Here is a 27,328-nt window from a genome sequence, read left to right as displayed (position 1 = left end):
GGCATGTCCCCTGGATTTGTGGTCAGTTGTTGGGGTTCTGTCTCTATCCTCAAGCCTTCTCTATGCACATTCTTTTCGTTGTGGTGAGATTGGAGAAGAAGAGTGGGGAAAAAGGCCAGCATTGCTTTCAAGTATGGATATTCCAGGTATAATTTGAAAGGACATTTGTACATAAATGGTTATCCTCAGGGCTGGACAGCCCTGCATTTGATCTTGGGAGGAGTTGTTGCTACTCTACAAGGGCAGGGAGAACATCAGAAAAAGCATATGAGATGGTATGGAAAATTCAAGGTACTATTTCTTTGTTTCTTGCTATGTTCTAGAGATAACTGTAGGTGGCCTATAGAGATGGCTATGCACAGTGGCCATAGAGGGAAAAGATGGGGAAGGGAAATGGTGGCACCAGGAATGACGCCACTCTACACGCCCAACCTCACGACCTTCTGAGGGCTGTCCTTAGCTGTAACAGCTGGTCCCCAAGGGTAACCTTGTTGCTGATCCAAATCTCATTGCCATAGGTAGAAGTGGAACCAACTCTTCTTGGTGCTGAGTGCAGGCAGGATGCTTCCTGAGGAACCTCACCAACAGAACCAGTGTCCTGACCACTAACGTCATGGAGAGGGTCCCACATACGTCACCCCTCACCTCTAGTCAGTAGCTTCATTCTAGAGGCAAGCAGGAAAGGCAATTTTGTACGTAGCTGAAAGCTTGTGTGGTGTCACTGGGGCCATTGTCAGGTGGTAGAAAGAGCCTGGAGTTCAGCCTTCCTGGGCTCCACTCCCAGCCAGTTACTCCAGTTGGGAGCCTTCCTGGCACGGTGGTGTGAGAATCGCATGAGGCGTGCGGAGGACCTAACCCAGTGCTGAGCTCCTAGCAAGTGCGTCACCATCTTATCCTTACGAAATGCTATGTTATGTGGTTCGACTGTGGTAGGGTAGAGAAGCAGCTGTTACACAGACAGACAGACATGATCTGCGGGGAGGGTGTGCTGGGGAAGGAAGTTCTAGATTCTGAAGGCCAGCTAGAAAAATATGGATGTCAGAGCCACTGAAGGCACAGCCTGGGGAACAGCCCTAAGGGCAGTTGGCTTGGTTGGCCACAGTGGAGGCTCTGGATTCCACAATCTCATCTCGGACTAGGCAGGGGGCAAGAGAAGAGAGAGGGAAGCGGCAGTAGTGTGAGGAATTCTTTGAGGAGGAAGATGACAGAACAGAGTGACTAACCATTTATAGAAGACAGGAGAGAGACTGAGGAGATAGGAGCCTCTCAGATGACAGACAAATCTTTTCTTTGAAGTGTTTTCATGGGTTTGAATGTGAGCGTGTCTGATATTCTGGGAGACTGCACCACTTTAAACAAAACAGTGGGCCCACACTGAGGACGCCAGACATAGAAAGTTCCTTCTTCACCATCCTCCACCCTCTGTGTGGCTGCTTCTGTTTTGCACACCAAGCTATGACGACTTGTTCTCCATGCTGCTGCCTTCCCTTCATCTCAGTCCCCTAGCTGGATAATGCTTATTGTTTTTTCAGCTACAGGAGTCATTTAAGTGCTTGGCTTTTAAAAGATGCCCATGTTTTATTCTTGTGGATTGTGTAGACACCCAGACAGAGCTTGAGTTGAAGTTTGATGAAGTGTGGATGATAACGTGTACAAGTACAATCTAAAATCACAGTGTTTCCAAACTGGGTCATGAACCATTAGTGAGTTGTGAAACCAATTTAGTGGAGGTCAGGCCACCATTTCTAAAGAATGAAATAAAATACAGAAGAAAATATCAGAGCATTCTGCACATGAAACCTAGTTCTTTTGATACATGTGTACTGGGTAACGATGTAGGATATATTCTCATTGTGGATTTTTTTTTAATGTTTATAAAACTCAGAATCATGAATGATGGAGGAAAGAGATTGTAAGAGAAATTGAAATTGCCAAGGTCAGATATGGAGAAGCAAGAAAATATTGAGGGGACTATATTATGGCAAGCTGAGTGTCTGAGCGACTTCACGTTATTCCTGTCTTGCTCTAAAATAAAGAAATATCACAACTGTGCATTTCATATTTATTATTGTTTTATTAGAATATGATTGTTTTGCATTTCCAGAGCCACAGCCTCTTCTTGAAAGAGCAGACATTGCATTTCTCCCAATACTCAGTTGAGTACCTGAAAGAATAACGTTTCCTGTCTATAGTTTATTAACTTACTTTACTTGGAAGACTCTGTCATTCAAAAACCAAAGGAAGACTTGACAAGCTGAAATACTTGTGAGGGAAAGAGGTAGAACTGTTACTATCCCATGAGATTTCTTGGCTTCTGTTGCCCTGTATTATAAAAAGGTTGATGAAATTTCCTCTCTCCGTACTGTCCCCTTTTCTCTTCTTGGCAGTTGTCCATGTCATTAAATTAAGCCTGTACTAAATAAGCAATGGAAGAACTTAGCCAGAATGGAGTATCTGATGAGCAGGCACCCTGGAGAGAAAATCTTCTTCACCTCAAGGATGAAGGTCTAGTCCCTCTCCAAAAACAAGTACACTTCCGTGTCCCTGAGGATGTGCCAGTGTTGACACATTTGTGAGTCATTACCAGCCCAACTGGGCACATAGTGCTGTATCTTGCGATGGTTCACTGTGGTTACCAGACAGGGCCAGGTTCGTGGATGTTTGACCTGTGAGGTTGCTCAGCACCCCATGCTCAGAAGGGCTCCATGCTTGGTTTAATGCCCTGCTATCACTGTCTTGAAATTCTTAATAATTTTCCAACAAGGGGACTTGTGTTTTCACTTTCCACTGTGCCCCACACAGCATGTAGCTGGTCCTGCCTCTAGAAGCACCCTTGTCTGCCCTCTTTCCTCAGGGTGGCACCATAACCCCAAGTTACTGGTGACTACCTCCACTGGAATAACCCACTGTATTTCCACAAATTGTGGGTAGCCTAGAAAAGAAGAGAGGATGGAGGAACCACAGTGAGGTGGAGGGTCACCGAAGGTCTGGCGTGTTGTGCATGCTGGTGAGTGGCTCCATTGAACCTGGAGTGGACGTTAGGATCAGGTCCTGCAGAGCCTATGGGCCATGTGAAGGGGACAAACTTGATCCTGAGGGCTATGGGAAGCCTTGGAAAGTTTGAGCAAATGAGTAACATCATGTGGTATTCAGGAGATCCTGACATGACTGTTGTGCCAAGTTCCAAGCTCCAAGGAGAAGGGCCCACAAAATGCAATATTGAGCTTGCAGGTGTAGGACCATTTTTACCTAGTTTTCAGGGATATGAAAAGCAACAATTTGTAACGTGTTCACTCATGTAACATGTATTTGTTGAGCACTGCACATGCCAGATACTGTTTTAGACACTGGGATTGCAGCAGAACATTGAGAATCCATGCCCTGATGGGGCCTGAGTGATGATGGAAGGAAACAGACAAGAAACAAGTGAGAGAGAGGGAAGGAGGGAGGGAAAAGAAAAGGAGATGGAGATGAAGTATAATGAAGAGAAATAGAGCATATCAGGGAGGGTAGCTAGTGGTGGGACGGGGGTCCCTCTTAGGTAAACTGGTCAGGGTAGGATTCTACTAGGTAACATTCTAGTGGAGACCAGATTTAAATGAGGGAGCCAGCCATGTGAGCATCTACGGAAGAGTGTTCTGGCCGGAGGGGATGGGGGTGAAAAAGGCCCAAGATGGACCTTGTTTGGCATTTGGGCATGAGGCCAATGTGGTTGGATCAGAGTGAATTGAGTGGGATTGGCAGGAGAGTAAGTTGGTGAGACAGCAGGTTATAGGGCCGTTTAGGATATTGTGAGGGCTCAGGATGTTGTTTTGAGTGATATGGTGGCCATTGGAGGGTTTTGAGCAAGGGAATATGTGGCCTTACTTGTATTTTTGTTTTATTTTTATTTTATATTTTTGAGATGGAGTCTCGCTCTATCACCCAGGCTGGAGTACAATGGTGCCATCTTGGCTTACTGCAACCTCCACCTCCTGGGTTCAAGTGATTCTCCTGCCTCAGCCTCCCAAATAGCTGCGATCACAGGTGCGTGTCACCATGCCCAGCTAATTTTTTGTATTTTAAGTAGAGATGGGGTTTCACCATGTTGCCCAGGCTGGTCTCAAACTCCTGACCTCAAGTGATCCACCTGCCTTGGCCTCCCAAAGTGCTGGTATTACAGACGTGAGCCACCATACCTGCTTAGTTGTATTTTTAAAGGGTAATTTTGACTCTGCTGTGAAAAATAGACTGAGGTGGGGTGACTAGGGTGTGAACAGCAGGGGTCAGGGTAGAAGAGAGAAGGAAGCTGGCCAGGCACCGTGGCTCACGCCTGTAATCCCAGTACTTTGGGAGGCCGAGGTGGGTGGATTACAAGGTTAGGAGTTCGAGACCAGCCTGGCCAACATAGTGAAACCCTGTCTCTACTAAAAATACAAAAAATTAGCTGGGCGTGGTGGTGGGTGCCTGTAATCCCAGCTACTTGGGAGGCTGAGGCAGGAGAATCGCTTGAACTCGGGAGGCGGAGGTTGCAGTGAGCTGAGATCACTCCATTGCACTCCAGCCTGGGTGACAGTGCAAGACTCCATCTCAAAAAAAAAAAGAGGAGGAAGCTACTGTAATAACCTAGGTGAGGTGCTGGTGGCACAGTGCTAGTGGCTGATTCTGGATGTGCATCGAAGATACTGCCAACAGGATTTGCATATGATGTGCAGTATGAGAGAGAGGAATAAAAGATGACTGTAAAGTTTTGGCCTGAACAGCTAGAATAATTATTATTATTAATTGCTATTCGTTTTATTGTTTTTTATTTTTTGTTTTATTGTGTTTTTAAATTTTGTTTTATTCTTTTATTTCTGGCCTGAACAGCTAGAATAATAATTACTAATTGCCATTTGTTTTATTGTTTTATTATTAATTGCCATTTATTATTAGTTGCCATTTGTTTCAATTGTCTATTGCTGGTAACTAACCCCCCCCCAATTTTTTTTATTCATGGTTATGCAATCTGGAATGGGCTTAGCGGGGCAGCTCTTCTGCTGGTCTTGCCTGTTGTTCACTGGTGAGTTGGACTTGGCTGGAACAGCTGGGCTCTTCTTTCTTCATGAAGTCTTAGGACCTTTCCCTCTCCGTGTGTTCTTCCCACATGGTTTCTCCAACTGGGTCGCCCGACTTCTTAAATGGCAGCTCAAGGCTTCTAAGGGGGCAAAAGTGGAAGCCGGTAAGCCTTCCTAAGACTTAGGCCCCAAACTGGCACAAGATCACTTCTATTTTATTGATTAAAGTAAGTCACAGATTCAGGCCAGATTGAAGGAGGATTATGCAAGAGTGTAAATTCCAGGAGGTGTGGTTCATTGGAAGTCATCAGTGTAACAGATTACCACTCCATTTTATGGAGGAGGAGGAGACTAGGGAAGAACACGTTGGAGATGTTGGGGCTATCACAAATCCAGTCTTGGATCTGATTAGGTCTGAGATATCCATCCACTAGGCATTCAAGAGGACATGTAGGCATTTGGATATATACAAATCTGGAGTTCATGAGTGAGGCTCAGGTACAAGTTTGAGAGGAAACAATGTATAGATGGTGGTCAAAGCCGTGAGGCTGGATGAGTTTCTCTAGAGAGTGAGTAGAGACATGGGGAAAAATATCCAATTACAGGGTTCTGGGATATTCCAACATGGAGGGGTCAGGGAGATGGGAAGAATCTAGCAAAGGAGATGAAGAAGGTTCAGCCAGTGAAGTAAGATAGAAGTCAGAGGAGTGTGATGTTGTGGAAGCCACGTGAAGAGAGAGTATCAAGAAGAAAGAATTGATCAACTGTGTTGAATTGCTGCTGATGGGTCAAGAAAGCTGGGGCCTGCAAATGGACCATTGTATTTGGCTTTGCCAAAGTCTGATGGGAGTGCATTCAAGGGAGAATGGGAAAAAATGTGGTATAAAGACGGGGAGTAAAGATAGCTCTTTAAAGGAACTTTGATATAAAAGGGAACAGAAAATTGGGTGGAAACTGTAGGAGTATCTGAAATTAAGGGAGATTTGGTTTCTTAAGATGCTTGAATGCTGATGGGATTAGGAGACAGAAGAAAAAATGCTGCAGGAGAGAGGAAGCAGATGAGTGCAGGAATTTGAGGAGGTGAGAGGGCATGGGATCCAGTGCATGGAAGGGGAGTTGGCCAGAGATAGCATAATGCATCCATTGCAGCAGGGGGGCAGGCAGAGAGAGGGGTGCAGACACCAGAAGATGGCAGGAGACCCTCATGGTTAACCACATGGCTCTGAGCCAGACTGCCTGGGCTGGCATCCCCACTGAGTTCCTATCTATATATTACCTTGCATCTGAGTGCCTCTGTTTTCTCATCTTTAAAAGGAGGTTGATAATTGTACCTTCCTCATAGGGCCGCTCTGTATGTATGCATACTGACGTGTGAAGGATTCAGAGCAGTGCCTGGCACAGAGTGAGTGCTGTGTTTGCTATTATGATTATCAAGTGAACCTTCTCTCTGGACTGCTTCAATTTACCCAGTGAGAAAAGCAGGAAAGTGACCAGCTGAGAGTGATAAAGAGCAAAGGGTTATTAGAGGTTTGAGAAGGGAGGAGAAGACAGGGAACAAGTAGAGAGAGGAAGCAGGTAGGAGGATTGTCACACACCACCAGGGGGCCACTTAAGGTTTTGAGGTTGTGAATTTAAACTAAGAGTCTGCATGTTGTCTCTGTTTCTCCAAGAAAGTTGAGCTGCCAGATTGAGATATACAGAATGTGAGGGGCTGGATTAAACAGAGTTAAGGTTTTCTTGGTTAGTGCCTGGATGGAGGGAGAGAGTGGCAGAGTTGCTTGGCATAGATCAAAGGGAGTTAAGTATAGGGTTGGGCCAGGGACTCTATACTGGGAGTGGAGGGAAGTGAGACCACAAGGGGGTGGTGGACAGTAAAAGGTCAATGGGTCAAAGGTGCTGGTAAGACTAGGGACTGGATGGGGTGAATGGGACATATGGGGCAATAGCAGAGAGAGGGATGCTTGAACTTGAGATTATGGGTGGCAGTTACAGATAATGACAGTGTGCCTGTTTGTAACCCTATGTGGATTTCTCAGAGGATTTAGTCTAAACTCCAGTGTTACAGATATAGAAAAACCTCGAACAGTGTATTTTGAACCCTTTCAGAGAGCACAGCTGGCTTCAGAGAGTAGGTAGAAGGTGGGGGATGCAGACTGTGGCTAAAACTAGTGGATTGAGCTGTGCTCCGGTGGTGAGGTCCCTAACCTAAAGATACCCAATTCATAGCTCATCAATCAAGAACACATGAAACAAGATTCATGCTTTGAGGCCGGGTGGCTTGTGCCTGTAATTCCAGCACTTTGGGAGGTTGAGGTGGGCGGATCACCTGAGGTTGGGAGTTTGAGACCAGCCTGACCAACATGGAAAAACCCTGTCTCTACTAAAAATACAAAATTAGCTGGGCATGGTGGCACATGCCTGTAATCCCAGCTACTTGGGAGGCTGAGGCAGGAGAATCGCTTGAACCTTGGAGGCGGAGGTTGCAGTGAGCCGAGATTGTGCCATTGCACTCCAGTCTGGGCAACAAGAGTGAAAGTCCGTCTCAAAAAAACAAAACAAACAAACAAACAAAAGATTTATGCTTTGAAAGAGCTTGCTGAGATAATTTTCTATGAGTCTTAAAGAATTATTTAAGTTGTTACTAATCAAAGAAAGAAATGACCTTATTTTAGACCTTCTAAATCAGCAACAAAATAGTAGATACATATTTAGTGTATACAGGGTAAAAATGATACCCCAACTCCTTGCTGATGGCATTATAAATTGATTGCATTTTTAGAAAGCATTGACTACGTGTCAAAAATCAGCAATGTTCACTGAAACTTTTTAAAAAATTAAAATAATTTTAAAATTTAATATTGAACAGATACAAAAGAATATAAGATATATGGATAATATAGGGCAGGGGTCAGCAAACCTTTTTTTTTTTTTTTTTTTTTTTTTTTGAGACAGAGTCTTACTCTGTCACCCAGGCTGGAGTGCAGTAGCATGATCTCGGCTAACTTCAACCTCTGCCTCCCGAGTTCAAGTGATTCTCCTGCCTCAGCCTCCTGAGTAACTGGGATTACAGGTGCTCACCATCACGCCTGGCTAATTTTTGTATTTTTAGTAGAGATGAGGTTTCACCATGTTGGCCAGGCTGGTCTTGAACTCCTGACCTCAGGTGATCTGCCTGCCTTGGCCTCCCAAAGTGCTGGGATTACAGGCAAGAGCCTTTGCACCCGGCCAGCAAACATTTTTTGTAAAAGGTCAGACAGGTGGCTTACATCCGTAATCCCAGTGCTTTTGGAGGCTGAAGTGGGAGAATCACTTCAGTCCAGGAGTTTGAGACCAGCCTGAGCAACATAGCAAGACCTTGTCTCTACCAAAACTATTTTAAAATTAGCCAGGTGTGGTAACACACACCTATGTTCCCAGCTACTGGGGAGGCTGAGGCAGGAGGATCACTTAAGCCTAGGAGTTTGAGGCTCTAGTGAGCTATGATCATACCACTGCACTCCAGTCTGGGCAACAGAGCAAGACCTTATCTTAAAAAAATTTTATTTAATTAAATAAAAGACCAGATAACAAGTGTTTTTGGCTTTGCAGACCGTATTGTGTCTACTGCAACCATTCAGCTCTGCCATTTGACCACAAAGGCAGCCGTAGAAAATGCAGAAATGAATGGTTATAGTTTGTTCCAATAAAACTGTTTGTCAAAGCAAGTGAAGATTTGGCCCATGGGTTGTGTTTGTTGACCCCTGGTATATAGAATCACACTACAGCAGACATCATGTTCTCACCACAGGTTTATGGAAAATGACATCATTACCTGTGTACGCTTTAATGGATATATAACATTCTACCACATTGCTGCGTTATTTACTTTCCCAACAAATAGTCTGTGGTTGGCCACGTTGTCTCTTTTTGGCTTCTTGATGTTATAGGTGATGATATAGTGAACATCTTCTTAGGCATACAGCCTTTTTCCTTTGATTGAATTATTTCATTAGGCCCAATTTCTAGCATCAATCACAATATGCAAAGATTAACATTGCTGTGCTTGAGCTTTTTTTTGTAAAAGGGAAATTTTAATGAAAAGGGTCAGAAGGCCAGTGTTTATCCTGGAAATGAACCCCACAAGGCAGAGATATGGACCTCAGGGGTCTCTGGTCTCCCTGATCCTGCTTCCACTTCTCTTGCCAGATCCCTCCAGCTGTTCTTCTCCCTGAATCTGGTTTTCAGTATACTGTCAAGCAAAGCCTGTTATCTCTCCCGAGTGTTTGCCTTTTAATAGAAGAGAGAGTGGAGACCTGGCTTCCCTAAGCTTGTCTGTGTAAATCTGTTTCATGAGGCGACACAGTTATGCGATCTCCATTCTTTCTCCCTTTCTGTCCTGTTGGCAGCAGTTCATCAATCCACACTTCTAGAAAGAGTGACAGTCACAATGGTAGTCTTCAGGCCCCTTGGGGGCGCTGAGCAACCCAGCATGGGCCTTGGCCAAGCAGAATTGATTCTCATTCCAGCTCTCCACTGACGTAGCCATTGTAAATTGCAAAACCTCTCTGGGCAGTTTCCTCATCTGTAAAATGGAATAGTTGTACCTGCTTACAGACATCTAAGAAGATTACATAAGATAATGAGTGTGAAACCCAAGCACTGTGCCCTGGCTTGAGCTCTAAAAACAGTTTAAATCTGAAATATTTCATATATTCTTACAGCAATGTTTTTGTCTTATACAATTGTTTCTCCTTTTTCTCTGAGCAGGTGACTGATTGTTTACAGAAGTGTCAGAGGTGGTCTCGGGGTTGCTCTGGGCATTGTGAGTCATTTTAGCTTTCAACATTGTCACTGAAATATTATGTGACAAGTTTGTGTCTAATGCCTGTTGCTCGTATCTTCCCTGGTCTCCAAATGAGGTTACTGATTCCTGATTATAGGGGTCTATAATCTGAGCCAGCAAAGAATGAGCGTTTCCTGGATACTAGGTAGGCACTGGACTAATTTAACACTGCCATTTAATACTCACAATCAGCCTAGAAGGTTGGTATTTTTATTTTCTCTATTTTTACAGCTGAGGAATTGAGTCCTGGGGAGATGAATTTGCCACGTACACATGGCTAGTCACTGTTAAGGGATGACGTTCTGCTCCCAACTGAATTCCTTCTGTGAGCTGATGTCTGGGACTCTGGAAAAACACAGGGATTAACTTCAACAGATATCTTTCTATATAGTAAATATCTTCTTGGAAAAAGTAAAATTTTATTTCAAACTCTTCCCATCTGACAAAAATTTTAATGAATGCTTTTCATAATGTTTCAGGCACCATGAAATGGGTGTGAGGGAACCTGGCAGGTTAAGGAAACCTAGGGAAAAGGTTGGCTAAGTCAAGAAACCTTTTGCAGTGTGAATTGTCTGCGCTTTATTTTGTAAAATTGGATTTTTGTGTATTTCTCCTGGTTTTCTCAAAATAGGACATAAATGAACCTTTGCGGTGGTGGAGGCCTCTCTGCTTGCTTGTTTGCACTGGGTGTGTTTGCCAATCTAAGGATAAAATACGAAGATGGCTCCCAAGGTTATGAAGTCATGTTTCTTTTTTCTTTCTTTTCTCTTTCTTTAAAGAGACAACTCAGGCTGGCATACAGTGGTGCAATCATAGCTCCCTGCAGCCAGAAAGTCCTGGGCTCAAGTGATCCTCCTGCCTCAGCCTACAGATAGCTAAGACAACAGTAAGACTACAGGCTTGCACCACCACACCTGGCTAATTTAAAAACATTTTTTGTGTAGAGACAACAAGGTCTTGCAGCCAGGTTGGTCTTGAACTCCAGGGCTGAAGCGATCCTCCCACCTCAGCCTCTCAAAATGCTGGGATCATGGGTCTGAGCCACTGCACCCAGTCAACTGATGTTTCTTTGAAGAAAATTGCACCTACTCTTGGCCTTCTATTTGCAGAGGCCAGCTGTGCTCCCTGCTGTGGGGAGGGGACTGTCCCTCCTTCCAAGTGTCCTTCGCCTTCCCCTATGGGTGATTGTTTATTTCGGATTTCTAAGAGCCTAAGATCCCAACCTGAAGATTGGTTATTTACTTTTAGATTGATGCAACTTTAAATGTAATTAATTGTTCTCTGAGTCCCTAGTGCAGATCCTCTCTTTTTTTCCTTCCCCCCAAATAGTTCACTGTCTTAATTATGTTAACGGAAGAAAAGGCAGTCTTTATTGATGGCTCGGTAAATCCACAGCAGTGATTTCAGGTCATTTGGATGCCATCAGTCTGAACAGCTGGGCCGTCACTCACCCTCTGTCAGAGGCAGACAACCCAATTAGTACTCACCACTCCTTGGCTCTGTATCCCTGGTGTTCACTGTCCAAGAAATGGATGATTAAATGACTTATTTGCAAACACACCAAAAAAAAAAAAGGAGAGGGTGCCCAGGAGATTGTAGGAGAGGAAGAAATCAGACCAGACTAGGAAGTCTGTTTTAATGAAAAGTATGACATCTTGTCCAGAATGTTCAGTTGCTGGTTTTGAAGTTGATCTGGCATTCTGCACAAACTCCAATGAAACACACAACAGAAGATGAAAGAGGAAATAGTAATTCTGCTCCCAACCCATTCTGCTCCATCTCTCCAGGTATTCTATTTTTTTCCTGCTCTGACAAAGCCACGTCATTTTAAAGTACAGAATACATACCTAGTAGGTTGGACTTGATGTTGGCTGTGAGCCCATATTCCCTCAGTCCACAATTTTGGGAAGGTTGTCTTTGAAAATTATTATTCTCAGGTATTGCATTCCCAGTAGAACCTTTTTTCTTTTTCCTCCAACTTTTTTATTTTGAACATTTTCCAATCTACAGTAAAGTTGCAAGAGTAGCACAATGGACTCTTGTATTAGTTCTTGCATTGCTATCAAGAACTACCTGAAACTGAGTAATTTATAAAGAAAAGAGGTTTAATTGACCAGTTTTGCAGGCTGTACAAGTTCTGGGGAGGCCTCAGGAAACTTACAATCATGGCAGAAGGCGAAGGGGAAGCTCTCAACATCTTACATGGCCAGAGCAGGAGAAAGAGAGCAAAGGGGGAGGTGTTATATACTTTTAAACAACCAGATCTCATGAGAACTCACTATCATGAGAACAGCAAGGGGAAGTGTGCCCCCATGATCCAATCACCTCCCATCAGGCCCCGTCTCCAACACTGGGGATTACAATTTGACATGAGACTTGGGTGGGGACACAAATCCAAACCATATCAACTCCCATATATTCTTCACCTTTTTTGGCCAATTACTAACATTTTGTACTTTGCATTTCTTCTCCCTTCTTCCCTCTCTGCCAACCTCTCTCCTCCCCTCCTCCCACCTTCCTCCTTCCATTTTTCTCTCTAGTTCTCAAGCTGTTTCCCTCCAGAACTTTTTCCGTACACATACATGTATATGTGTGTGTAACACATTGGGTTAGTCCATTTTCATGCTGCTAATAAAAGACATACCTGAGACTGGGAAGAAAAAGAGGTTTAACGGACTTATAGTTCCAAATGGCTGGGGAGGCCTCACAATCATGGCAGAAGGCAAGGAGGAGCAAGTCATGTTTTACATGGATGGCAGCAGGCAAAGAGAGAGAGCTTGTTTGGGAAACTCCTCTTTATAAAACCATCAGCTCTCATGAGACTTACTGTTAATGAGAACAGCACAAGAAAGACCCACCCCCATGATTCAATTACCTCCCACTGGGTCCCTCCCACGACACGTGGGAATTGTGGGAGTTACAACTCAAGATGAAATTTGGGTGGGGACACAGCCAAACCATATCATACATGTATGTTTATTTTTTGATTAACCATTTTAGAGTATGTTGCAGACATCATGACAGTTCTTTCCTACCCCTTTGGTGAGTGTCTTCTAAGAATAAGGACATTATAGTATACATGTGTCACATTGGGAAATGTAACATTGAGGCAATATTATTTCATATTCAGCCCATGGTAAATTTTCCCAACTTGTCCCAATCATGTCCTTTATGGCCATTTTTTAAAACTCCAGAATCCAACCCAGATTATGTTGCATTTGGTCATTATGATGTCTCTAGTCTCCTTTAGTCAAGAAAATTCCCCGCCTTTTTCCCTTTCATGGCAGTGATACTGAAGAGTTCAAGTCAGGTTTTCTTTGCTTTCATTTTTGTTTTCCAAACTGTTCCTCAGTTTGGATTTGACTTTTTTTTTTTCCTCATAGTTAAGAGCCAGACTAAACAATTTGGGCAGTAATAATTGGCAGAAGTTGCTGAGCAGAGCCTTTGTTTTTCCTTTTGATAAAGAGAAGAGGAAGATGCCTTCAGACTAGGCAATTTCATTCCTTCTGGCTCCTTTGGAGCCTTTGAAGGCCCATCCTGGAGGTCATCCAGCCACATTCTTTTTGGCCCCAAAGGTGTCTTAGGAGATCCAGAAGAGTGTGGGGCAGACCGGGTTTGAGTCTACTCATTCATTAGACATTTAGAGTGCACTTCTGATACATCAGGCTCTGGTTCCTTACCACCCAAAACACGTTCCTGAAATAAGCTAGATTCTGTGTAAGCTGGCTTCAGCCTAGAAGTTGGTATGTATGTGAATATTCTCATGTTGCTCGAGAGAAGCAGCAACTGAAAACTTGGCTGGATATACTCAGAAGAATTAAAAGCATAGTGAATGAGAATCTGCATTTAAAAATATGGGTAACTTAAACATGTCAAAGGAAACAAAGGTGTCTCTCATGCAGTTCATCTGTTTGTCTTGTTTTTTGCTAGGTATTAAGGAGTCAGGTGTCTATCCACTAAGAGCTTACAGTTTTGAAACGTGTGCATTAATAAGAACAAAAGAGCCTTGCAGGTGGAGATATGTGTGAGGTGCAGAGGATAGGAGAGAGGGGTTGTTGCTTTAGCCTTGAAAGCAGGAACTGTCAAAAAAAGCTTCACAGAGCAGGGAGCTACTTGAGCTGATGAGCTTTTTGTCATAGAGACAGGGCAGGAGAAAGGGCAGAAAAAGGGAGTGTGTGTGTGTGTGTGTGTGTGTGTGTGTGTGTGTGTGAGAGAGAGAGAGAGAGATTTGTGCAGGGAGGGATGGGGGCAGTCAGTCAGGACATCGTGTGAGACCAGAGGGAGGTGGGGGCGTTATCTCTTACATAGATTTTAGAAAGATGACTCTGGCTGTTGTGTGGAGGAGAGTTGGAGGTATGGCAGGATGCTGGGCCTCCAGTTCAGGAGCCACGCCTCCTACGCCCTTCCTTCATTGCAACGATCTCCCTCCCATTTATGATATTAATGATACTGTTTGGAATGGTGGATTTTCTTGCTATGTTGGGAAGAGTGAAATGGCCCTAAAAGGTGGGGCTCATGTCCCATTCTCTTGCCCATTTGATCTCCTTTGCCCACTTCTTTTAAAAAAATTATTATTATTATTATTATTATTATTATTATTTGTAGTGATGGGTTCTCACTATGTTGCCCAGGCTAGTCTTAAACTCTTCCTGCCTCAGCCTCCCACTGTTGGGATTACAGGCACAAGGCACCATACCTGGCTCTTCCCCCTCTTCTTAATCCATGACAGCAGCTGGGGTGGCCCAGACATCCTAGCTGTCTCCCTTGTCCACTGAGAGAAGATGTTCTTGTTAACCAGAAGCAGATAATCATGATGTGTCATGGGGTAATGGCAGGGACTTGGAGGTGGCACCTGGGAGCCTGAGGTTCCCTGCTGGCTCGGCCACTGGGTGGCCCAGGCATAGCGCCCTCACCTGTGGGACCAGGGCAGTGCACTAAATCATCTTGCTTTTTAGTTCTGACATTCCGTGACTCAGGGTTCCAAGTGGAGTTCTTTTTCTTATTTATTTACTTATTTTTTTTTTTAAATCCTTCAGCTTTTGAATTCAGAAATGCTGACTAAATTAGGGGAAATATCTTAAATTCTTCTCCTTTTCAAAAGTACATCACTAGAGAGTAAATATTGTATCAGTTTTCCTTGTTAACTTTAATCTTGGGTACAAACATGAAGATTCTTGTCTAGAGGTGGAATTATTGCCACAGAAGCCCCATTGCCATAGAGTGGGGAAAAAGACACGAGCCAAGGTTACGCAATTATCTTTGTTTGAAGTTATACCCATCAGGGCTGATGGCCTCAGTGTATATTTCTGTCCTTCCCCTCCCCTGGCTTGCCTTCTGATCACAGGGCCCCTTGGACCTGGGAAGGGAGAGAGCAGGAGACGGAGTCACTTGGGGAAGGGATGCAGATGCAGACATTTGTGGCAGCCTGTCCTTTGTCATTGATTTGGCTTCATTAAGGGATTTCCAAGCTGCTTAAATTCACACTCCCCAGCTTGTGCACCCTGTCTGGGTGGAGTTCATAGGGGAGCCCTTGGGTGATTCTGGGGCAGAAGAGGGAAGTGTGGTGAGTATTTGGGGGTTATTTACTCTGCTATTGGACAGCTAAGTGGTGGGAGAACACAGCAGCCTGACCCCAGTGAAGCCTCATTGGAAGAGCAGCCCCCAGAGAGCACAGTGATGGTTGCTGAATGATGACCTGTCCCCACGAAAAAGGCATAGGAAGTAATAGAGGTGGCATCTGAAGGTTATTTCAAGCTAAATGCTTTTCTTGGCCAGATAAGATCCTAGGACAGCCAGATTCTCAATTTTTTCAAGTCGTGGATTAAAGAAAATTAGGAAACCTCCATTGATTTGCATAGTTGTGTTTTTAAATAATGTTTCTTCCTTGTGTGTATTATAAAAACAAAGCAGAAAGATACTCAGAAAAAAAAGTGTTAAAATCACTCAGTTCTGTCACCCGGACAGATATGTTAACATTTTGAGTGTTTTTATGATTCTTGGATTGTATTACATGTTCAATTTTACATCTGGCTGCTTTTTTATTTAGGACAGGCACATTTTCTCCTGACATACTTTTCAAATGAAAGATAGAAAAGCATTAAAGGAGATCTACCAAGCTTTACCTCTCTAGCAGATGGGGCTTTTTCTAGTTTCCTCTGAAATTTCTGTACTTTGCTGTTCTCATGTCTGCCTATCTCTCTCTGGACATCTGTATTAGTCCCTTTAGTGTTGCTGTGACAGAATGAGACTGAGTCGTTTTTCAGAAAAGTACATTTATTTAGCTCACAATTCTGCAGGCTGGGAAGTTTAAGAGCATAGTGTCACATCTGGCTGGCTTCTGGTGAGGGCCATGTGCTGGGTCAAAACGTGGCAGAAAAGGGAGCGGGTGTGTGTGCAGAGATCATGTGGGAAGCACAAGGGTCTAGGAAGCCAAAGTCGCTTCTAGAACAGCATGCTCTTGCGGTCCCTAATTCAGTCCTGAGAGAGTGAGAACTCGCTCCTGAAGGAAGGCATTAATCTCTTCATAAGGGATCTGCTCCCATTACCTACACACCTTCTACTAGTCCCCACTTCCTAACACTGCCACATCGGGGATCAAATTGCAACACACATTTGGGAGAGGACAAACTCAGACCACAGCAGCATCTCTTCTCCCTTCCATCACATCCAAGTCATTTGCAGGGAAGGGTGTTGGAATCCTGAAGTAGAGTCAGGGTTACAGATCTGTGAGCCTGTGTGATATTTGTGGTCCGTGATCATACACCCTCCCAAATGTTTTCATGGGAGTGAGGGACTGCAGAAAGGAAGGACAGAATTAGTTATGTAAAGAGAGATTGTAAACCAGCCCCATGGTATTGGTCAACTCGCTGGAACCCGGTGTGTTCCCTGCGTGGCCCAGCAGGTCTGGGCTAGCTTTCCAGTTTCAAAATCCTGTGAGTCCACGTTAGGAGGAACAGAATGAGATGCTCTGGGTTAAGGCTGGCTGTGTTTTGCAGCTAAGTGGGTGGATTATTAATACCCGATAACTGTTTGGGAGGCCAAGACGGGTGGATTGCTTGAGCTCAGGAGTTTGTAATGAGCCTGGGCAACATGGTGAGACCTTGTCTCTACTAAAATAAAGAAAATTAGCTGGGTATGGTGGCATGTGCCTGTAGTCCCAGCTACTCAGGAGACTGAGGCAGGAGAATCACTTGAACCCAAGAGGTGGAGGTTGCAGTGAGCTGAGATTGTGCCACCGCACTCCAGCCTGGGTGACAGAAGGTGACTCTGTCTCAAAACAAACAAAAAATACCCGATATTTGTTTCAAGTTAATTTAAGATCACTCTAGGACAGTGAAAAATGGACTTTCTCTTCTTTAAAAAGCAGTAGCAGTAATGAGTTATGGGCTTCCCAGTTTCAGAGTACCCTTCAGTTGCTTTAAGTGACTTACAGTAGATGATTAAATAATCATTGGGTTACAGGCATTTGGGGTTGTAGAGCCCCCTGAGTGACCACCTGGATCCACTTTGGATCAATGAGGAGTCTCTGTCTTATCTCTACCAGAGTTATCCGGGCCTCTACAAGGTCTCTGTCTTCAATCATGGTGCCAATAACAAACCTAGGGGTAGCCACTCTGCCAGTCCTTTAGCAGCAGGTTCTGTATGTTAAGTGCCAGCCTGCTTTGTAACTTCCACTGGTTTCTCCTGGACCAGCCTTGAGGACCGACCTCCACAGATGGAATCACCATGGCCCCTCTTGTCTGCGGCAGCTCTGTGGATATTTGCCTGCTGATGGGCCTGCCCCGTCCTGGAGCTGGGCCCTTTCCACAGTCCTACCCTTCCTCAGTCATGGTGGGGCTTGTACACCATTCTTCTACCGAGGCCTCCCAGTGCACACTGTCATTGGTGGTGGGTCCTGGTCTGCCTGGACCCCCTATGAAGTGGCACCAACAAACCCCAGTATCCATGTTTGTGAGAACACACTGATTGCCGACCCCTCCCTTCCCCTGCCCCAGCCCACTTGGTCTTGCCTGATGGCAGGGGGAATACAGAAAAGCCCTTCCAGGCTGTTTTCTTCACATCTCTAAATAATGGAGAGTTAGGGGAGAAATGGCAGTGGAGACTGAGACAGAGACTATTGTGTTAGCCCAGGTAAACAAGGAAGAAAATCACTCAGAGCAGTCTTGTCCACAAAGCTGGGCTCTCGTTGATTCCACTGCCACTTCTCATTTCTTTGATATTGTTTCCCTTGGTTTGTCATGTGTGCACAAGTCAAAACAGACTGCTCCCTGGCTGGAGATGTTATGAATTTGCTTAACAGTGGTTGCAGCCTTTACCTTTCTTTTCAGCTTTTCCGTGTAATCCCAGGGATTGTCTGACTTTGTGTCCTTCCAAATGCAGGTGGTGCTTCCCACCTTTATCCTGGAGAAGCGATCTTTGCTGGAGATGTATGCAGATTTCATGGCGCACCCAGACCTACTGCTGGCCATCACCGCTGGGGCCACACCAGAGGAGAGAGTCATTTGCTTCGTTGAGTATTATCTCACAGCCTTTCACGAGGGCCGCAAGGGCGCTTTAGCCAAGAAGCCCTACAACCCCATCATAGGCGAGACATTTCACTGCTCCTGGGAAGTTCCCAAGGACAGGGTCAAGCCTAAGAGGACTGCTTCCCGCTCTCCTGCCAGCTGTCACGAACACCCAATGGCCGATGACCCTTCCAAAAGCTACAAACTAAGGTTTGTGGCTGAGCAAGTGTCCCATCACCCACCCATCTCCTGCTTCTACTGTGAGTGCGAGGAGAAGAGACTGTGCGTCAACACTCATGTATGGACCAAAAGCAAGTTCATGGGCATGTCCGTGGGGGTCTCTATGATAGGGGAAGGTAAGCCATGTCGTATGTTGGAGTTTGGCTCTTACACAGTGACGTTTCTATACCTGGTAGATGATTGATAATTTTGTGTGTGGAGTTTTTTGTTGTTGTTGTTTTTAACTGGTTTTGGAATTAGAGTGTGGGTGGTAAAAGGGTCAGGTTTTGTTGTTTGGGAACAAGGTCTGGTAATTTCCCAGCGGGGCCAAGGTAACGGACTATCTGCCTGACAGCCGCCCACCTGGACCTTCCCACCTGGACCTTCCCATGCTGTGCACGCGCGTGCGTGCACACCTTACAGGTACTGTTTTCTTTCAGCTTTGCATGAATATAAGAGTTGGCCTCCAAATCTGTGAAAACACATTTTTATTCATTCTCACCGGTGTTCTGGCTCACAGACAATGAGGATAATCATGCTGCCTATTCAAAATCTGCTCGTAAAAATTCCCAAAACAAATCTTTTGACTCTATGCTGGAAATTCTGAAGCAAGAACATAGTATAATCACGCCACTGGTGGATCACACATTCTTATTTTAGCAAATAGCTGTGAATGAAGTTTATTCATTGTTTGAAGAAACCTATAATAATCCTTGTTAAATTCAAGCATCTGTGTTACTGGTTCTTCAACTTTTTTTTGAGTCACAAATCTCTTCAAGGCTCTAAGGCTGTGATTCTCTTCCTAGAAAAAAGGAATCTAACTCCAAATTTGTCTTTGAGTTTCAGGGAGTACATGGCTCCTTAGAAGCCCTTCCAAAACCCCATGAGATAAGAGCACCTTTCATTCACTTAGCACATTTTTATTGAGCACCTACTAGATGCTTGGCATTGCCTTAGGAGCTGTGGTTACTTGAGCAAACAAAACAGACCAAAAAAGATCTGTTCTGATGATGCTTCTGTTCTCCTTCTTTCTCACGGGGAAATGAAATAAATAAGTAAATAAAATGGATTGTGTGGTAAGTTGAAGAATGGTAAGTGTTGTAGAGAAACAAAGCAGGTGGGGGTCCGGGGAAGACCAGGGAGAGGGCAGTTGAGCTTTCAGATGAGCTGGCCAGTGGGAAGGCCTCACTAAGGTGATATTTGAGCAAAGACCCAAAGCGGGCAAAGAGGGGTAAGGCAAGCCTTATAGGTCACTGGGAAAGAGTTTGTGTGCAGAAAGAATGAGGCAGAGGCCTACAGGTAAAATGTCCCTGGCACGGGGATGGAGACAGGAAGCCCATGTGGCTGGAGCAGGGTGAACAGGGGCAGGTGGAGGTCAGGGAGGTGATGGTGGCCAGATCACATAGGACCTCATGGGCTATTGCTAGGGACACTGGCTCTTACAGTGAGGGAGCCCTGAAGCCACTGGTGCTTTTGAGCTGGAGAGTACCAGGCTCAATCTCATAGTTCAGCAAGACTGCTCCAGCCGTTTGTTGAAAACAGACCCTGGGCGGGGGTAATGGTGGAAACAAGGAGACTAGGGAGGAGGTTGTGAGAATAACTAAGCAGGTGATGATGGTGGCTTGGACCAGGTGGAAAATAGTGGAGGAAGTAAATGTAGTGGAGTAGTAAGGATCTGGATAGGTTCTAAAGTTAGAGCCAAGAGGATCTGCCTCTGGATGGGATGTGGAGTGTGAGAGAAAGTGTTGCCAAGGTTTTGACCTGAGCACCTAGAAGGATGGACTAGCTGTTAAAACTGAGATGGGGAGACTTGAGGGCTGGGTATTGGGCTACTTTGAAGGAAGAGTATGGGAGCTCAGGGCGGTTGTTAGGGTTTAGTCATTGAAGGGAGTGCTAAAGTAGGCAATTGTGTATGCAAGCTGGAGTTTCATAGGGAGGGTCCTGGCTGAGATAAAATATTTAAGGCCTTGAGACTAATGAGACTGCTGAGTGAGCACTGATTTCTGAAGCATTAAGCAGCATTAAGAGGTCTGCAAGATGAACAGCCAGCCGAGGAGACTGATGAGGGGTGGCCAGAGAAGTAGACTGAATGGAATGGGAGAAGGTGCTCCTTGCGAGGCAAGTGAAGAAGGGCTTCAAAGTGCGAGAGTGATCAACTGCATCACATGATGCTGGTTACTCCAGTAAGATGAGAACTGAGAAGGGATCATGGATTTTGGATCATGGAGGTCATTCGTCACCTTGACAGCAGTTGTCAGTGGAGTAGCACTAGTGAAAATCTGACTAGAATAAAGTCAAGAGAGAAGGAAGGAGAGGAATTAGGGACTGTAAATGTGGACAGTTCCTCCTTATTTAGGGTTTGCATGCAATGGTACTGTTTTGGAAAATAGCCACTCTTGGGTTCCACTTCTCTGTTAGGTTTACACCCCAAAGCGCTGCTCCCCCTCTTGCATAGGTAAGATGGCAACTCCAGAGTGCCCACAGGTGTACTCAGCATTCGTGTTGGGCCTTCACTGGGGTCTTCCTTGCATGCAGGTCTAGTAATCAGCAGCTCATGCTGCACTCGTCACACCTTCCTCTCAAGGATCAATCAGGATCAAGAAGTTCACCAATGAGACATTCATTAATTTGTGTAGGAAGCTAGGGACACACCTGTCACCAGGATGATCTTGGGTCACCCAGTTTAGGCCTTTTCCACAATTCAGATGGAGGTGGGTTGTATCTGTGGGGGAAAGATGTAAAAATACATCTATCTTTAGATAAACCTCATCAATAATGAGTATTATCCTCCTCTTAGGTTATCTTCTGTAAGAGTGCAGTATTACAACTATTTTCCAATTAGAAAAATCCCAATTCATGACTGGGTTGTCTGGCTTTTCCTGCTGTTGACAAGGGGAGATGGATGCCTGAAGTGGTCTCTCTTCTTAAAGAGGAGTTGTTACCAGTGATGACTGGACCATGAAATCTTGTAGCTGAAAGGGCATTTGTCCACCATATGCTCCAGGGTTTCCAGCTGTGCTGTAGAGAATCCCAGGCTCCTTAGAGGGGCACAGGAAGTGAGTGGCAAGGTTGGTGTTCTTCCAAGTCCACTCCAGCCCGAGTATCTCCATCCATCCTTACCTATTTACCAGAGGGACTTCCCTATACAAGTTTATTTCCGAAAGGGTTCTGTTGCTTCAGAATGCTCAGCAGACCCCGGATGAGTCCAGCTATCCTCATTTCACAGATGAGGAGCCCGAGAGAGGCAGCTTGCCTAGGAACCCATGCATAATTCACAGTATCCATCCTGCCCTCAGCACAAGCCATTGAAGGGGGATGCAGGGCAGGTGCTGGGGTCTCCTTGAGTCAGGGGCCATTTCTCAGCTCATCTCTGACCTGTGGATGAGATACCAGAATCTGAGGAGGTTCAGGCAGCCCCCTGAGTTCACAAGCCCAGGAAGAGCAGAGGAGCAGGGTTGAGCAGCAGGCGGTGGGCCGGGGAAGGGGGATCAGGTCAAGGGCGATTAGAGCCCTATATGGACACAGCCAGGGCTGTTGAGGCCTCTCTCTGACACTGAGAAAACAAACTTGATTCAAGTGTGCTTCTGTGGGGGCAGGGCTAGAGGAACGAGAGGTATTTCCTCACCGGCCTCTTTTCTGACCCCAGTGACTGCTTGTTCTCCTGAACTCTGCCTTCTCCTTGGATGAAGCGACAGGGAGCTACCACCGTGCAGCACTGTTTGGGTTAAAGCCCCCTGGCAGGTTTCAAAAAGGTGTTTCAGCCCAGACTGGGGACTCTTGAAGTTGTGTGAACTAAGAGCTCCGGTTAGAATACTCGGGTAACTCTTCCTATTGAAAGCAGGGAGAAGATTGCCAAGGACTCCCCTGTGGGAGGTTTATGTTCACATTGATTTTTATACTTGAGTTTGTAATAAGAAATGGGAGCAACATTAATCTTGATTTTGACTTATCTGGGGCTCTGTGTTTTCATAGGTTGCTTTGGGCTTGGCTCGTGCTATGAGGTTTATATTGGTAAAAAATCTTTTCCTTTTCTTAAAAACAAAAATTGGTATTCAGGAGACTCATCTCATTCTATTTAATTTTATTCCTTATTCTAAATTTCCCACATAATAAATATTTTGAAGATGAAATATGTTTGTTTGCCAGAGAAGGTAGAGAAGGCAGTTCACACTTTGTATTTATGCCCCATATGCGAGATAATTCCTTACACATTTTCTACAGTTAGTATTTTAATCATGTTTACCTCCTTATCGGTAACAGTGGTGGCTCGAATAAATCTGTCATTTACCCATTCACTTATCCATTCATCCATTTATTTGTGAAGTGATTGGCACCATCCTTGATGCCAGAGATGCAGCAGAGGCCACAGCACACAGATTCCCTGCCCCCGGGAGCTCATGCTCCAACAGGAGGGTCGGAGAGAAGACAAGACATGTGCGTGAAGTCCTCAATGTGATGGATGATGACTGACACTAAGAGACAAAGTAGGAAGGAGGAGAGTGAAGCTGGGGCAGGGAGGTTGCAATTTTCAATAATGTGGACCTCAGCAAGATAGAGCAGCTGAGGAAAGGCCTGAAGCAGGTTTAAGAAGGGGTCTTCTATGCAAAAAAGAACAGCAAGTGGTAAGGCCCCAAGTTGGGAGCTAGTGGCTGGGGTGTTTTGAGGACAGCCAGGGGCCACTGTGTCTGCAGCAGTGAGTGCGTGGCTGGGAAGAGAGGAGATAAAGCCAGAGAGGAGAGGCCACATTTTGGGATCTGATTTTGGGGCTCTGGAACGTCTTTGCCGTTTGCTCTGAGATGGGAGTCGCTGAGGGTAGACATGATTTTAGCATCCCTGTGTTGGCTGAGTGAAGAATAGACTGAAGGCAGAAGTGGAGAGGGCCCAGTGCAAAGATAGAAGCAGAGAGGCAAGTTGTTTCTTATTTCTCTTCTTCCCTCCTACACACACACACACACACACACACACACACACACACACACACACACACAGTTTGAATCTGTGATTAGTCAGAGTAAGTGCTTGGTGAATAGAATGCCTTTTGTCTGGGGATTTCCCTGCACTCAGCAGAAGTGCTTGTTGCCGCTTGTCAAGGCCTGAGAAAGCCAGATTCTTAAATTGGAGTAGAGGGTCAATACCTCCCAGTCTGTGAGCCCCTAATTCTTGCCATTAGACAAATATGTGGAAATGTTCGAAAAGGTAGATTTGCAATCCATTTTTGGTGATTTAGGGAATTCTTCACAGAAACGCAATCTCTCCCTTCAGGATCCTTCCTTCTCTACCAAATAGCAGTCACTTTTCCCCTGTCCCCGACCACCAGCGGTGGGCTCCGACAAGGAGGTGGCTGTGCAGTGGTGTCACGTGTGTGATTGTGTTTTAAAGCTGGTTATTCTCTCTTCCCCACACAATGTGTTCATCTTTCCCTTCTTCCCTCTACACAGCATGTTCATCATCATCTTCTTCCCTCTGCTTCCCTGCACCCTTGTCCTTCCTGTCTCCCTCTGGTGTCTCTAGCCGTTTCACTTAAGCCACACCGTCAACGGGGCACCCCTCAGCCCAGCACAGCACATGGCCTCCTGTCATTGCCTCTGCAGCTGAACTTGAGAGAGTGATGAGGTCCTTTTAGCCCTCTGTCCCCTGAACTAACCAACATCTTTGCTCTGTCTTTTTTTTTTTTTTTTTTTTTGAGACGGAGTCTCGCTCTGTCGCCCAGGCCGGACTGCGGACTGCAGTGGCGCAATCTCGGCTCACTGCAAGCTCCGCTTCCTGGGTTCACGCCATTCTCCTGCCTCAGCCTCCCGAGTAGCTGGGACTACAGGCGCCCGCCACCGCGCCCGGCTAATTTTTTGTATTTTTAGTAGAGACGGGGTTTCACCTTGTTAGCCAGGATGGTCTCGATCTCCTGACCTCATGATCCACCCGCCTCGGCCTCCCAAAGTGCTGGGATTACAGGCGTGAGCCACCGCGCCCGGCCTTTGCTCTGTCTTATGTTGGCCGTTGTTGAGTGTCCGTGTCTCCACAGGGTAGGCCTGTGAGGTCTCAGGATCATAGCTCCTCTGTTTCTCATAGGCAGCAGGCAGAGGCTGGAGCCCTTGATTCACTTTACCCAGCCCAGGACCACAGTGTCGTGGGTGAGAAGCCGTGGAACACCCTCTCCTGAGGCCCTCAGATGCAGCCTGCAGATGAAGCAGAATTAGAATTTGTTGCTCTCACTTTTTCTAACTGCTTGAAAATGCCACTCAGAATTTCTCAATAGCATGCTGAGTTCAGAAAGAAGATTCTGGAGAGAGACTGTGAAAGGCCTCTCCTGGACATGGCCCTTCCTGGCCACTCACCTGATGTTTTCCTGCTGTGGGTGGGCCTGGGCATGGCCAGGGGACCCTTGGCTCGTTCTTGTGAGGCCTTGAGTTTGCCTAAGTCCCTTCAGTAGCTGCGTCCCCTTATCTTTTGTATTAATTAAAATGTGTCCGCTGTAATGCAGGATCTGATTTTTCACACAAACTATTTCTAAGAATCTCCAAACTTCGAAGCAGAAGGTTCTGGCTCCCACACTCAGAGCTCCTTTGATTGGGGGAAGGCAGGAGGTTGGATAATTTCCCTTCCCTCGCATATTTCCTGCATATTCTATGAATTTGTTGATTGGGTGTAAATAATGCTTTTTCCATCTCCTCATTATAAAAATGAGGTCTTACATGGGTCCACTTGGAATTGTGAACGTAAATACGTGGGCTCATCTCCTAAATCATGGCCTTTAGGCTGTGGCATATTTGACTGTAATGAAATGCTATTATGAAGTGCTTCATTATGCCCTGAATTCACTCACGTTGACCCCAGAGACTGCACCCCTTTCTCCCACCCTCTCGTTTCTATTGCTCTAACAGTGAGAGCCGACACTGTTCAGTCAACCTAAGACCTCTGTCCACGGGAAAGTGTGGGCTGCTCACCCCTCCCAACCTCGCACCGCTGTGGAGCTGAGGGGCGTTCAGCTGCTCTTTGCAGCCCACTTCCCTCAAAATGCCTGAATCAATGCCTGGTAAATGGTGCAGGCTCTTAATTGAGTCTGTGGGGAAAAACAGTTAGTTCTAATGAGAGGAAGCAACATGATTGCCACTGGGCTTGTGAGTGCCAATGCTGCCGGGTCTGCAAACACACTTCCCAGAGTTCCTTCTGTGACTCTACTTTCCAGGATGAATGTCCCAGCTGAATATTTTGGTTCCTCAGATTGAGATTGGACACAAAATTATTTTAAGTTTATCAGTTTGAAAATCTTAATGCTTTGCCTTTATTGGCGAATCAATTTGTGGAATTTCAAATGAAGATCTCCCAGCCTGAGGAAGATGCATGGAAGGATTGATTATTTGATGTTTTTTTTTTTTTTGGCTTCTCTTAGCTGTTAGGCCAAATGAAGAAGTAACTTATATTTGTGATCCCATTTGTAAGTCTAATTTTAATATGTCTTTTATTCATATTAAGGAGATTTTTTTTTAAATGCAACCCTGAAAAAAAAGAGTATGTACTAAGAAGGCATAATTGCAGGTGATTTGATGAATGAACACACATTTATGGATTTTCAGAAACAAGCCAAAGGCATGTGGTCTTGCCAGTGCCTTCAAATCAGTTTAGCTCTGAGGCTCACTGACCTCCCCCAGGACTTGGGGGAAATTTTACCTTGATTTGGAAGAGATTTTTCTGAAGAAAAATGGGAGGAGGATGCTATCTCTTATGCAGTATTACATTAGAGAAAGTCTGCCCTGTGTCTCTTCCATCCCTCACAGGTATAGCCTATTGGAAGACGTTGTAGTTTCCTCTTTTTTTTTTTTTTTTTTTTGAGATGGAGTCTCGCTCTGTCGCCCAGGCTGCAGTGCAGTGGCGCAATCTCGGCTCACTGCAAGCTCCGCCTCCCAGGTTCACGCCATTCTCCTGCCTCAGCCTCCCGAGTAGCTGGGACTACAGGTGCCCGCCACCATGCCCGGCTAATTTTTGGTATTTTTAGTAGAGATGGGGGTTTTACCATGTTAGCCAGGATGGTCTTGATCTCCTGACCTCGTGATCCACCCGCCTCAGCCTCCCAAAGTGCTGGGATTACAGGCGTGAGCCACTGCGCCTGGCCCTGCAGTTTCCTCTTTATTGCCAGTTGGTGATACCCATCGAGAGGGCTGCTTTAAAGAATGAGGAGTAATTAAGACATAAAACCTTCAGGATTTTGGCAGTGTGCCATGCTGCAGTGCTGTTAGCTGAGTTTAGAATCGCCTTCTCCATCTTTACGACAGCCATGGGAGATACAGATACCATTATCTCTGCATCACAGATGAGGAAACTGAGGCACAGAGAAGTTAAGATTGCCAGGCTGGTGAGTGACGGAGGACTTGGAATGATCCTCTAAGATTTCATCCAGGTCTTAAAAAAAGTCGTGGCATATTCTCCATGAAAAAACATGGTGAAGAAAATCTCAGCTGTATAATCCTACCTTACTACAAAGTTTATATTTATGAATGAGACTAGGAATACCAGCCAGCCAAGTTTGTGGCTGTTGTGTGTTTCCAGTCTGTAGAGGTTTCCTGCTAGACATGCAAGAGGTGGGAGTTCCCAATTCCCAAGGTATCCCGATTAAGGACATGAAGGGTGAACCACAAAATAGGAATGCAGTAGACATCAGGGGCAAGGTTATGGTGCCAGGGAGACATATTGCTCGCCTGGAAGGATTTTACTACCAAGTAGAGATGCTCCTTGGCTTATGATGGGGTTATGTC

At 45.3% G+C, this 27,328-nt stretch overlaps 1 protein-coding gene and 1 long non-coding RNA gene across 18 annotated transcripts in view, besides 1 other annotated feature; both read left to right on the top strand.

The window, feature by feature from the left end:
* OSBPL10 (oxysterol binding protein like 10) overlaps positions 1 to 27,328 on the top strand; it is a 416,868-nt gene that overhangs the window by 375,341 nt on the left and 14,199 nt on the right. For all 17 annotated transcript variants that reach the window (XM_047447390.1, XM_047447386.1, XM_047447391.1 and 14 more), the window contains one exon: positions 18,238 to 18,718. In XM_047447390.1, the coding sequence (XP_047303346.1) occupies positions 18,238 to 18,718 (481 nt within the window). The remainder of the gene's footprint in view (positions 1 to 18,237; positions 18,719 to 27,328) is intronic.
* Positions 2 to 4,739, top strand: LOC124909360 (uncharacterized). The gene is made up of 2 exons (XR_007095858.1): positions 2 to 2,278; positions 2,388 to 4,739. It is a non-coding gene; the product is annotated as an uncharacterized LOC124909360 (long non-coding RNA).
* Positions 23,323 to 23,824: an enhancer, noted in NCBI's record as "NANOG hESC enhancer chr3:31720020-31720521 (GRCh37/hg19 assembly coordinates)". NCBI's record gives its function as "activates a minimal SCP1, AML or CMV promoter by ChIP-STARR-seq in primed H9 embryonic stem cells {active_cell/tissue: H9 hESC(primed)}" and the evidence as "EXISTENCE:reporter gene assay evidence [ECO:0000049][PMID:30033119]".

The sequence above is a fragment of the Homo sapiens genome, chromosome 3, assembly GCF_000001405.40.
Source record: "Homo sapiens chromosome 3, GRCh38.p14 Primary Assembly".
Classification (NCBI taxonomy): Eukaryota; Metazoa; Chordata; class Mammalia; order Primates; family Hominidae; genus Homo; species Homo sapiens.
This window is presented reverse-complemented; position numbering and strand designations above follow the sequence as displayed.